Source organism: Homo sapiens, chromosome 4 (assembly GCF_000001405.40).
Source record: "Homo sapiens chromosome 4, GRCh38.p14 Primary Assembly".
Lineage (NCBI taxonomy): Eukaryota > Metazoa > Chordata > Mammalia > Primates > Hominidae > Homo > Homo sapiens.
Genome location: NC_000004.12, coordinates 170518843 through 170532926, shown reverse-complemented (window position 1 = coordinate 170532926; position 14084 = coordinate 170518843).

Sequence of the window (14084 nt, the reverse complement as noted above, 5' to 3'; positions counted from 1 at the left end):
TTAATGTTTATGGGTACATGGTAGGTATATATATTTATTAGGTATATGAAATATTTTGGTACAGGTATACAATGTATAATCATCATATCAGGGTAAGTGGGATATCCATCACCTCAAGTATTTATCCTTTGTGTTACGAACAATCCAATTTACCATATAAATTTTAAAGTATTTGTCAATTTTAGTATCTGGTTAATCTTTAGGGTATCTCTGTTGTTTGTTTTTAATCATAGATTTTAGTCCTGTAGTTCAATCTTTTGATATACCTAAAATATTTTATTAAATGCCAGTTATCACCATATATTAAATGTAATATATATATGTTTATATATAATGTATATGTTTCAGATGCTATCATATTACTATCACTATCAAAGTTTCCCTAAAGTTAAATTTTTTTTCTTCTTTTAAGATAATTTTGCTATAATGTAGTAGAAAGTTTGATGGCTTAAAATAGTTTTGCAACTATAATTAAACTTTGTATTTAAGAGGCAATTAAAGCCAAACCCATTGTTGTTAAGAAAAGAAGAAGGTGTTGTAGCTGTGTGCCAGGAAAAAAAATTATTGTCTCAAGTTGCAGGCAGCTCAAAAACATATACTTCATATGATATGATGGTAAATCTTTGAACTTGATAAAGAGCTACATTTACTCCAATATTATTCAGTGACCATACAGACAGCATCAGTGAGAAAACATAGAGAAGATCGAGATACGTTCTTTTTTCTATGCTGAGGGAGAATTTTGTAAGAGGTGGTACAAAGTGATAGAAAAAGAACATGCTTGAGAGGTAGATCCAACAGTTACAGTTTTGACACATATCTCTGAATTTCTGATATCTTATCTTCATCCTCAAGATAGGGATAATATCTTCCCTCATAGTATTATTGTAAGGATCAAATAGTATTGTGTCTGGCACAGAGCGGGTCATAAATTTGTGGCTATATTTAGGAGCATTGTGTTTTGCTTTGTTTTGTTTTTTAACTAGCTGGTTTGCACAGAGAATCCTAAAGATGCGCTATTCTATAGCTCCAGACAGGAATATGGGGAACCTTTCTATATAGTATTGAATCCTTCTTTTATATATATGCTCCTATGTAACACAGAGAAAGGTAAAATATAGAGCAATAACTTTCATGGCTGAATTTCTAAGAATATCTAAACAATATCTACCAGAATACTCAAGCTGTTCAAAAAATCTTCCCTGTAAAATAACTAGTGCTATCTTGCATCATTCCTATGGAAGAAAAAATTGAAAGAGGAAATATAAGAGGAAAAAACCTCAGAGCAAATTATGATTGAGAATCAGTGAAGGCTTTCTGTAGGTCCTTATATCCTACCATCAGTTCTAGAACAGAAAACTGTTTCTTAACTCATATCTTTTGTTTTTCTTCCAAGGACTTCAAACCTTTCCACTTCCCTTCTTTGCTTTCAGAACTATACTAAAATCCAAGATTCTCTCATTCCAGAGTTACTACAGAATAGTTTAAATCCTTCCTTTATACCATGTTCCCTAGCATCTCATGTGGTCTTTTTCCTACACACTTTCATTGCTAGTAACTATGGTGTAAAGTAAATAGTACTGAAAATATCAAACCACTCTAAGAAAACTTAAAAGTCATTAATAATAGCCATATACCCCTGATCTTTCTTGAAATGTAAACAAGGTGAAATCTAATAATAGTTGGCTTTCTTCAACTGGGAGACAGTCCTGAGAAATTCAACAATCTGATGCACTGTGAGGCTAAACAGTTCAAGTAACATTCAATTACAACAGAAAAAATTCATTTCTAAAACAGGAAAACCAAATCAGATCATTAACAACCTAGGAAATTTGGGATACTTTATTTAAATAATATATCCTTTGCCATTTTCCAAGACAAAGCTCTCATTTTGGCAAAAAGAGAAACTATCTTGGATTCTGGAGGCTACTCAATGTTTCATCCTTATAGTTACTCAGGTATCCATTGCTGAGTGAGTAATTCTACTCAGCCTTTCATCCACCTGTAATTTTTCACTGGTGGTAATTGGAGGCAAATTGGCTAGTGTTAATCATTAGATGTCTCTAATTAAAAACAGAAACTGTAAATGATGTTATGAATATTGGAAGAAATGAATGAAGCAGATCAGGATTCTCTAGGCCATTCAGACACACAGGAGAAAAATGTGGGATTGTTATTAGTATCTCTGATAATTATGAAGACCACAGAATTGTTTGGTTAAAAATTCCTTCATCAATAACATGGAAATTATTTGATTTGTACGCTTGACAAATAATAAGAAAAAATAAATCAGGTCCTAATGGACCTGTCTTCTTCACGATCCCTTGTAGAATAGAAACAACTATTATTCAGTAATGACCTGGGTACTCTCCTGCTGCTGTTGTTACAGTTTTGATCACAAATCTGCAGCTAGCTGCTCTAACTGCTCCCCAGCATTAATGAGTACACAAATATCATCATTGCATTGCATTCAGTAAGTACCCTTCTGGCCTAGAATTTGCAGCACTAACTTAATATACAAATGTGATGAGATACCAGTTTTATAAGATAGAAGTGAAAACAAATTAAAGCAGACTCCCCGCTGCTCAGGCATTTTTAAGTTATTTATGAGGAAGTGGATGACTATCAGTTCTCCTGTATTCCGTTTCCTTGTTAATAGAATGATTCAACTGTCAGTACTAGACACATTCCAAGGGTCAATGCTTCATTAGAATAAAACTCAGCTCAGTGTGACATCTCACAGATAGTCTACAAATTAAGACATTAGCTCCCATTTCACTTTCGCTTTATTAGCATTCATATCATCAATAAAAGATTCTGTTGTGCATGTTCTCTGATCTGCTTATCAGTAACTTATTTTCTTAGAACATACTAGTGATTTTGACCCCTAACATAATTTCTAGTATGTTTAACATAGGTTATTAGACAGCCATATCATATTTACATTCTTCCTACTGCCCTGAGTAATATTTGCTGTCAAATGTGCAGATGATTCACCAAGACAATAAGGGAAGCTATTTTGCATAGGATAGAAAAAATATTTCTATAACAATGACTAGCTTTTAAAACATTAGTATTAGTTGCATAATATATTATAGGAAAAATACCACATATGCTGAGATGTGTTGACAGTACTTTGATTGCCCTCACAGACTATCCAAACTTTCCAAAATACAACATTTTAGCACCCAAAGTTATTTTCCTAGCATGATTATAACTCAGAAGTGGCAAAAACAAAAACATTCTTAGATGATTAACCAAATATTGAGTTGAGGAATATGCTTACCATATTAATTAATATCTAATGGGTAATTTCATTAAATTTTAGTACATTACAATAATTCATAAGGCTGCAAAAACACTCTTGGCAAATTTGTGGAGACATTTAAGTAGTCATATCTATTTAAGTAAGCTTTGTTTAAAAGTCAGCCTCATTTTCTCACTCAAGTGCTTTCACCCATTTCAAGCTACAAAACAAGTAGTGTGGACTAAAAATAAGCAAGTAGGGAAATCTCAAAATCACTGGAGCATCTGTGATAGTTGCTTGCACTTTCTTAAGTATGTTGCCTTCCTATAGAAGTCCATTGTTTCAGTCTCTGGATAACAAGAGAACCGACCAATAATCAAGAGACCAGTCCTAAGGTTTAAAAATCATTTTCCCAATAATTTGGCCATGTTATCATATATGGAAGTGCCCAAAATAAATAGACCAGAAAGGCACTACGTTTTTTTTGAAGAAATTGTACAGACAAAACCATCTCAAGTGTGATTTTCAAAAACCTGTGTTTATTCAAACTTCAAAACAATTCCTCAGACCCTAAACCTTCTCAGGGAGAAAGTAGACTGAAGAAGTCCTCTCATGTCCATTCCAGGTATTTCCATGGTGAGAAAGTCACAAGGAAGAAACTTCCAGAGAGCATAATCAGAGGCCATGGGAACGTAATGGAGAGGGAGGTTTTCCCAAGAAACAGAACCGGGGTATCCAGGGAAGCTAACTCAGGAACTTAGCCCCCTAGCTCCCGAGATACCCTGAACAACTCTTCACAGAAGTGGGAAATGAGTCTGGGATCCACAGAGCCAGGAAGATAGATAGAAGTTAGTTCACTAGGAAGTTAGATAGAAGAGAATAGGGCGCAAAGAGAGGCAACATAAGGAAGATAGGCATAGCAGACAAGAAGAAAGCAACCGAGAAGACTCTAGTTTTGCTTTGAATGTCCCATTCTCACTTAGATATTACCCAAGACAAATCTTGGACCAAAGTGCATAGTGGGAACCAAATATTGCTCCTATGTAGCAGGTCCTATGTAGCAAGGAAGAAGGAAGATGTTGCTGCAGGATGCTGGCTAGAAAGGCTCTTATGAAGCTGTTGCTCATTATAGAACGGTTCATACATAAACCAGCCACTATCTTTAAACCTTTAAAAATATTAATCCTAACACAAAATATTCCATATAGAAACATTAAATGCAGACAATGTACAAGTAAAAATGAAGTACTTATGTCAAATAACTTTCAAATATTGAGAGATTATAATCTTAATTAAAAGTGATTAGCTGATAACAAATAAATGTATCATCAATCAATCACATTAATAACATAGCTATTTATTTGGATTAGTAATAAAAGAACTGCTTTCCTTTCTTTTAAAGACTATTTATAAAAAGCCTTTATAAAGAAGCCCAAATCAATGACAGCAATCACAGGGCAACCTAAAAAGTAAAAATTTTAATTAAATCAGAAAGATATTTATGATTAATTATCCTCCTAGAGCATGAAATCGTATTCAATCTACCAAGTACTTTCTATTATATCCCAAAAGCTGTGAAATTTGAGACTTTGGTTCCAGAAAATATCCATTAAATTTTTAATCCATCATGTTTTCATTTTATTTTAGAAATCAAGTTTTTTAAAAGGCTTTAACTGTCCATTTGACCTGCATTTCATTATACCAATCCAATTTTTGACTAATTAAATTTCTTTTTCAAAGTTCTTAATTTATTCAATTTAAAAAAGTGCTTGAGTTATAGGAATACTTTCCCAATTTTTAGAAAACACTGACTTCATATGTGACTTCTAGGTTATTTCTGTCTCTTTTCTGCCATCAATACAAGCAGGGCACCTTCACCTGCTACAGTTTAATGACACTCAGGAGTAAGTCATGAGGCCCTATAGAGAAGTATTTCCTGATCTGCTTTATTCATTTCTTCCAATATTCATAACAACATTTCCAGTTTCTGTTTTTAATTAGAGACATCTGATGATTAACACTAGCCAATTTGCATCCAATTACCACGAGTGAAAAATTACAGGTGGATGAAAGGCTGAGTAGAATTATTCATCCAGCAATGGATACTTGAGTAGCTATAAGGATGAAACACGGAGGAGTTTCAATGCCAGTCAATGAAAACACATCTCGGTGGGCCTCAAGCTAAGGTTTTATATCAAGCAAGATTTCAAGTTAGAATATTTAAATTCAAAACAAGCATGTGATATTCTTATTTGAGAGCTAAGAGCTCAGATTTCTTTGTTCTTTCACTTTATTTTCTCTTTAAAAACACTGCAATGAGTTTAATTGGCATACAATACACCAAACATATTTAAAGTATACAATTTAATAAGTTTCACCATATGTGCATACCCATAAAACTATCAGCATTATCAAGATAAAGAACATATTAATCACCCCAAATGTTTGCTCTTGCTGCTTTGTGATCCTCCCTCTTGTTCCTCCACCCTTGTCTCCAGAAAACTACTGAATCTCTTCCATCACTTTAGAGGCTAAGCAACTGGATATTGACCACAGGCAAAGGAATAGATATTTAGGTTGTTACTGATATTTAGCTATCACAATTAGAGCTCTTATGAACATTTGCACAAAACAGCTTTGTATCAATGTGTGCCTTAACTTCTCTTGGGTACTATGACTGGTTGCATCATATGATAGGTTCATATTACACTATTTTAAAGTGTACAATTCAGCGGGCTTTATTATATTCAGAATGTTGTATAACTATCACCACTATCAAATTCCAGAATATTTTTATAACCCCAAATAAACTGCTTATCTATTATTAGTCATGCCCTTCCCCCTCCTCCCAGCTCATGGCAACCCCTAACCTACATTCTGTCTGGATTTTCTTGGCTGGATATTTTATATAAATGGAATTTTATTTAGCATAATGTTTTCAAGTTCATCAATATTATAGCATGTTACAGTACTTCAGTATTTTCATAACTGGATAATGTCTCATTGTATAAATATACCACATTTCTTTACTCATCCATCACTTGATAGACATTTGGGTTGTTTCCACTTTTTGACTATTATGAATAATTCGGCTATGAACATTCATGTACAAGTGCTTGTGTTGACTTATCCTTTTAGTTCTATTGGGGATATAACTAAGGGTGGAATTATTGGGTCATGTGGCAGCCCTATATTTAATCATTAGAGGAATTTCCAGACTGTTTTTCGAAGTAGCTGCACCAATTTACATTCTCACAAGCATTGCATGAGGCCTCCAATTTCTCAATATCCTTGCCAACAACTGTTACTATCTGTATTTTACTGAATAGCAATCCTAACAGGTATGAAGTGTTATCTCACTGTGGGTTTAATTTGCAATTTCCTAATATAGTCATTTGTATATTTTTGAACAAATATCTATCCAAATCCTCACACATCTTTAAAGTGGCTTATTCATCTGTATACTGTTGAGTTTTAAGGGTCCTTTCCATACTCCGAATATAAGTCACATTAATTATAAGACTTACAAATATTTTCTACTCTTCTGTGGTTTGTCTTTCAACTTTTTGATAGTTTCCTTTGAAGCACAAATGTCTTAATTTTGAATGAGTCCAATTTATCTATTTCTTCTTTCATTGTTTTTGCTTTTGATATAACTAAGAAATCACTGCCTAAGCTAAGGTCATGAAGATATATTCCTGTGTTTCTTTCTAAGAATTTTACGGTTTTAACTCTTACACTCAGGCTTTTGTTGATTTTGAGGTTTTTTGTGTGCATATGGTATGAGGTAAGGGTCTGACTTCCTTCTTTTTCATGTAAATATAAATTAGTCCCAGTGCTATTTGTTGAAGATACTCTTCTCATGCAATTGAATGGTCTTGGCACCCCCGTTGAAAATCAATTGGCCATAAATATACGGGATTATTTTTTGACTCTCAAGTCTATTACATTGATATATATGTCTATCCTTATGCCAGTACCACACTGTTTTGATTACTTTACCTTTTCCTTGAAATCAGGAAGTGTGGAGCTTCCAACATTGTTCTTCTTTTTAAATTGTTTTGACTATTTTAGATTCCTTGCACTTCTATATGAGTTATAGAATTATAGACTCAGCTTGTCAATATCCACAAAAAAAAATTTAAAAATGAGGTGTAACTTGGAAGGGATCGTGCTCAATCTATAGGTCATTTTGAGGAGTACTGTCATATTAATGTACTTAAGTCTTCCATTCCAAGAACACCGAATGTCTTTTCATTTGTTTTGGTCCTTAATTTTTTTCCACATGTTTCACAGTTTTCAGCACACAAGTCTTATACTTTTTTTGTTAAATTTGTTCCAAAGCATTTTCTTCTTTTTTTTCTTTTTCTTTTTTCTTTTTTTTTTTTTTTGAGACAGATCTTGCTCTGTCGCCAGGCTGGAGTGCAGTGGCACGATCTCGGCTCACTGCAACCTCTGCCTCCTGGGTTTAAGTGATTCCCCTGCCTCAGCCTCCCAAGTAGCTGAGACTGCAGGCACGTGCCACTGTGCCCAGCTAATTTTTGTATTTTTAGTAGAGATGGGGTTTCACCATGTTGGCCAGGATGGTCTCGATTTCTTGACATCGTGATCTGCCTACCTCGACCTTCCAAAGTGCTGGGATTACAGGCATGAGCCACCATGCCCAGCTCATTTTGTTCTTTTTTAATGCTATTACAAATGGAATATTTTAATTCAAATTTCAATTTTTTCCTAATGTATTGAAATAAGAATTTGTGCATTAATATGCGATCGACTTTCGTGTCTTGATCTTGCATCCTGCAAACTTGCTGAATTGTTTATTAGTTCTAACAGTAATTTTACATATTCCTTAAAGTATTCTATACACAAGATCATGTTATGAAATATTCCTGATACTGCGGAGAAAGTTTTCTTTTTTTTTTAACCTGACTCCTAATTTATTTTTTTACTTTTTTTTTTATTATACTTTAAGTTCTAGGGTACATATGCACAACGTGCAAGTTTGTTACATATGTATACATGTGCCATGTTGGTGTGCTGCACCCATTAACTCGTCGTCATTTACATTAGGTATATCTCCCTTTATCAGATAAACTAACAGTAGATGAGAGCTGTTTACTTAGAAAGATGATTAAGTTTTATTGCGATCAGTAAGTTGATCAACTTGCTTTTAGCAATGTTTACTGTAAGCAAATGATAGAGTTTAAAAATATTACACAGTTAAAAAATTAAATATTAGTATAGTTTTAAAATATTTCTTTATGATACCTGGTTAGATAAGGTTGAAAATGAAAAATATAGTGACATAGTATACCAATAAAATTTTAATAGCAACATAAAAATGATACTTAGGAAAATGTAATATAAAACATTAGGATATAATTACACTGATTAGAGAAGACTGAAATATTATTTAAATGAATGGTCACAAGGACACTTTAATATCAAGAGTACAAAATTAAAATGAAGTAAAAAAGTTTAAAATGACCTGAAAAGGGTCTTTCATTATTCTAGAAAATATAGACTCAAAATCCTTCTATTTCCTCATTTAGCTACATAAATCAAGAAAATGAAAGTATTAGGAGCTGAGGTGTTCTGAAAATGTAAATGTTCAGTGAATTTTTCAATGATTAAGGAAAAGAAAAAACTTATCTTCTCATTTCTACCTCTAACATATATAAAATAATATATACTGACCAAGAAAATGTCAACATGAAGTCTTAAAGTCCTTGGTTTCAGCAGGGGTCGTTTACTGAAGCCTCAGCAATTAAATACATTTATATGAAGATAGGCATTATTTGATTTAGCCCTCATAATTCCCTTTTGAATCTTGCTCTATGTAACCTATATTCTTACTTGGAAAGACATTGTGGTGAGGAAATTGAGCCAGGAAGGAATTAAGTAGACTCAACCAGTGAGAGGAAGAGCTGAGGTTTGAAGTGACGATGTTTGACTCCAGCATCTTCAGTCACAAGCACTACACTACACTGAGTATGGGTTGTAGACCTAATCACCAATCTTTAGCTTGATGAGTTGAAAACTTGTGAACCAATTTTTGCATGGTGAATGTTTCTGTGAACAGACATACAGTTTCAGGAAGGCATTTTAGCAGGCAGCATGAAGGAAGTATTTGACACCAAAATGTTTTCCCAACTGACATGCTCGAGATGGTTGTTTCTTGAAATTCCTTTAACTATCCTGTTAAAGTTTTGGTATTTTTTGTAACAAACAAAACCTGGTAATCACAGAAAAGTTTTTAAAACAAACTATCATAGTGAAAAGAGAAACATGTGTGAGTTGATTTTCATGGTTTCTCCTGCTCTTCAGCACACATCCAACAATGACTGGGATTCCAGTACAGCATTTGCACTCTCAATCCTAACTCTCTTGGTGTTTTCATTCACATTAATACTGATATTATGTTAATACTGATACCATTAACACTAGCATTGTGTTAATATTAACACTATTTACTAACATAATTAATTTTGTAGAAAAGTTTGTGCAGTGTCTTCTTAAATAAATATCCTCCAAAGATTAAAAAAAATAGTTTATTAATGATGAAATGCCATATTCAAATTGTATTGTTTCCTTTGCTGGATTTTTAAAGAAAATGTATTTCTGCTAAGGAATTAAAGGAAATGGGATAAACAAAATTCATAAGAAATAGTAAAAATAGTAAATAAGCTAGAAGCTTATTAAATAGAAATAAAGCTCATAGGATATGTCAAATATAAAGAATGAGTAACAAAGTAGCTGGCAAAATTCAACATATATGTTAAATGTGCATGGTAAGTTAGTAACCTATAAAACATGTTAAAGGTAGGATGAATAAGTAGAAGATAGAATGGAACAAAGAAGAATGTTAACATACAGGAAGAAATGGTAAGACCGAGCTATGATCACGTGACCTCTAGGCTGAGGACAATTTCTTCTAAAACAGGCACACATTAGTTATTCTGAACAGGGACACATTCCAGTTGTATGTGTGCCCTACTCTAGACCCATAAATAAAACTCATGGCTGTTCAGCAGGCTAATTGGCAGGCCAAGCTGTGCCAAGCATTCATGCCTCTGCTTTTCTCTGATAAGCAAATGTGGGTCATTGGCCCAAGGCATTTTTCATATGTGGACTCACTTGCTCCAACGTCTACACTAGTTCTTCTAACCACACCATCAGCAAGGAAGGCTGATGGAGCAGAGATACGTGAATATTGCATACTCCAGTATTCAGCTTTCTACGAGCTTGCACTCTATTCTATATGTATTATATTATCCAATTCTTTTTCCTTGCTTTTATTTTTTCAGCGTTTTGTATGATTTCCATTCTTGTTACAAAAGCACTAAAATAGTATAAAAGTTTATGTTCTGTCACAGTTCTCCAAAGAAACGGAACCAATAGAAAATTATATATATACATATATACACACACATATATACGTATATATGTATATATATAATTTTCTATTGGTTCTATGTATGTGTGTATATATATGTGTGTATATATATGCTGAGAAGTCCCATAAATTGCTGTCTGGACACTGGAGACTCAGGAAAGCCAGTGATGTAATTTAGTCCAAGTTGAAAGGCCTGAGAACCAAGGATGCTGATGATGTAAATCCTAGACCAAGGGCAAAAGAAGATGAGATAAAATGTCTCAATTCAATACTGAAGTAGAAAATGAAGGGAAGTGACGCTGAAGTTCTCCTTTCTTCAGACCTTTTATTCTCTTAAGATCCTCAACCGATTGGATGATGCCAACCACATTGGAATGGGCAATTTGCTTCACTTAGTCCATTGATTCAATTGCCAATCTTATTCCAAAACACCCTCACAGACACACCCAGAAGCAACACTTAATCTGGGCACCTATGGCCCACTCAAGTTGACACACAAAATTAATCATCAGTTGAAGAAATTTTAATATTTAATAAACTATGTGATTCAAGCAACGTTATATATAAACTTGTTTTGTGATCTCACAGGCTATATATGTTATATATGAACTTCCTGTTTTGCGTTCTCACTGGTAGCTTGCCTGTTGATGTACTTTGAGGCTACCATTTTATAAAGGAAGCTTCCTACATGATCCAAGTTTGCCTTAATAAAGTTATAAATGGCTTATTGTAGATCAATAAAAAGTCACCATCTGAGAACACAAAATTCGTAGGCTAACAGTCAAAGTGTTTGAATGGCATTGAGCTATTATTACAAATTGAAGAAAGAAGATAATATTAATACCATAAACTATCCCACTTGTATAAGTTTTAGTGTAAAAAAGAAAATGAGAGAGGACACTAAAGGCACAAAGAAAGATAGCATTATAGGTTGAAAGCATCATTATGTTTTAGAGTTTTCTTTCTCTCCCATAACTTTCAAAACTTCGTAACTTACGTTTTCATTTTAAAACTTAATATTTGAAATATTTGTCTAGATGGTGTTTTATAAGTAAGCAGTCATTTAGAGGTAAGTTCCGTTGAACCAATGTTACTCTTTAATATTTGGACTGAGGAATTAAGTTTAAAACATAGTTTAATTAGCATATTCACATTACATCTTCCAACCAGATGTCCATCATCTGGGATCATTTTGAATTCTAAGAGAAATCTTATTTCCTCTCATCCCTGACCCTACATTCAAATTTCTTCATTAAGAATATTTGACTTTGGATTATTAAGAACTTATCTCAATTAAAATGTAAACATTTCTGGTAATTATTTGCTTCAGTTAAGCCTTTACAGCTCCTAGCGTGGAATTATGAATAGCTCTATCAGACACTTTCTAAGCTTGAAGCTAGTTTGGGCAACACCCATATGAAGAAATAAATCATGTGTTGAAACGAAGAAATCGGAGGACGGGTACATGATGAGGACATTTCAATAAGTGATCTGAGTATGCAAAAACTAAACTAGTTAAAAGTTAAAAATCAGCCTGCAACACATATTTGTGCATGTCCAACCCCTGCTTGTAGACAATTTCCCCTCCAAACAAGCAGAATAGTAATTAATGCAATGAGAGTCCCTGCTAGCTCTCCTCCTGTATTATACTAACCACTCCCATCCTAGCTCTACCTCATATTTCACCTACCATTTTGGGTCCACAATTATCAGACCCCATTCTAGTATCAAAGGCAAAATTCTCAAGTGAAAGTAGCAGGGCAAACTCAGATAACCTGAAAAAGAATGTTTTTTCCAAATTTAGAACACAAAGCTAAAGCTTTATGATTTTTGGTTTATAGAAGCAAGTACACTTCTGTCTAAAAGATCACTGCTATTGAATAGTGAATAGGTAAATATCATATGAACCTACATAATTCATTAAGTTCTAGTCAAGAAGCAAGAGCAATTTGCTGCATGTTAATAAATGTAATTGAGGAAACCATCAAAATATAATGGATATAAAGAAGACACTCAACTATCCATCATTAGTGAAGCTCCATTATGACAGATAAATAATATTTGGGAAGCAATAACTTAAAAAAAATTGCACACTTCTTTTAGGAAAAGCACCATAATGAGTCAATGGACTTTCTCCATTCATTCAGTTAACAAATAAATGTTTACTGAGTTCCAATTGCATTCCAGATTTCAAGTTCACTGCTAGGCACTGGAGATTCATTGGAAATATAGTTCTCATCCTTAATGAGTCTATCTATGTACCTCAAATTTTTCCCACTTATCCTCAAATTTTCATTTTTTTCATTGTCCAATTGGCATTTGTTCTATGTTACAGCAGATTTTGTACAACAGAATCTTAAGGAGCAGTAATAAAAGTGCTGTAAGAAAATATGAACTGGTGAAATGATGGGCCCATTGAGAATTATGTTGTTGACTAAAGGAGAAATTATGTTTGATCAGTTTAGAACAATGCTTTTCAAAGTTTAATGTGCTTACCAATTCCATGTGCTCTCTATTGAAATTTAGATTCTAGTTCAGTCTATGGTAGGACAGAGATTGCACATCTAATGAGCTTGGTGATATGGAAACTGCTGGTCCCTGAGCCTTGCTTCTGGTTGGAAAGCTGTAGTCTACAGCATTTTTATATCTTTTGCTAAGACTGACAGCCAATATTAAACATGGCCTTAATTTTATATTATCACATGCTAGCCTCTTCTCCAAATATATACATTCAATAGAATATTAAAATCACTTTCCATGATCTGTATACCCTGCTAGACTGTGGAGAAAATAGAAATCAGAATTCCACCCAACTTATTGAGGAAATAAGAGCCCAGTAAGGAAACCTGAAGTACAAACAAATAACTATATTAAAGTACCATTGCAACAAGATCCAAAAGTGTTATTTATTTTTTTTTTTTGAGATGGAGTCTCATTCGGTCGCCCAGGCAGAAGTGCAGTGACATGATCTTGGCTCACTGCATCCTCACCTCCCTGGTTCAAGCAATTCCCCTGCCTCGGCCTCCTGAGTAGCTGGGATTACAGGTGCACACCACCACACCCGGCTAATTTTATTTTATTTTTTTGTATTTTTAGTAGAGACAAGGTTTCACCATGTTGGCCAGACTGGTCTTGAACTCCTGACCTCAGGCAATCTGCCCACTTTGGCACCCCAAAATGCTGGGATTAAAGGCATGAGCCACCGTGCCCAGTTTATTTTATTATTCCACCCCGACCCTTCTTATCTTGCTTTAAGAAAATTTATGAATTTTCTAGGTCTGCCTAGCAGCAGGTGATCAGAACAGTAAGGAAAGAGAAAAGTTGAAACTAGACTGAGAGAAGAAACTGTAGGGGAGGAAAAATAATTTTCTCTCTACCCTTTATAGTTCTTAGTTGGAACAGGCCTTTGAAACAAAAGACAGATTAACAAAATTAAAGAAA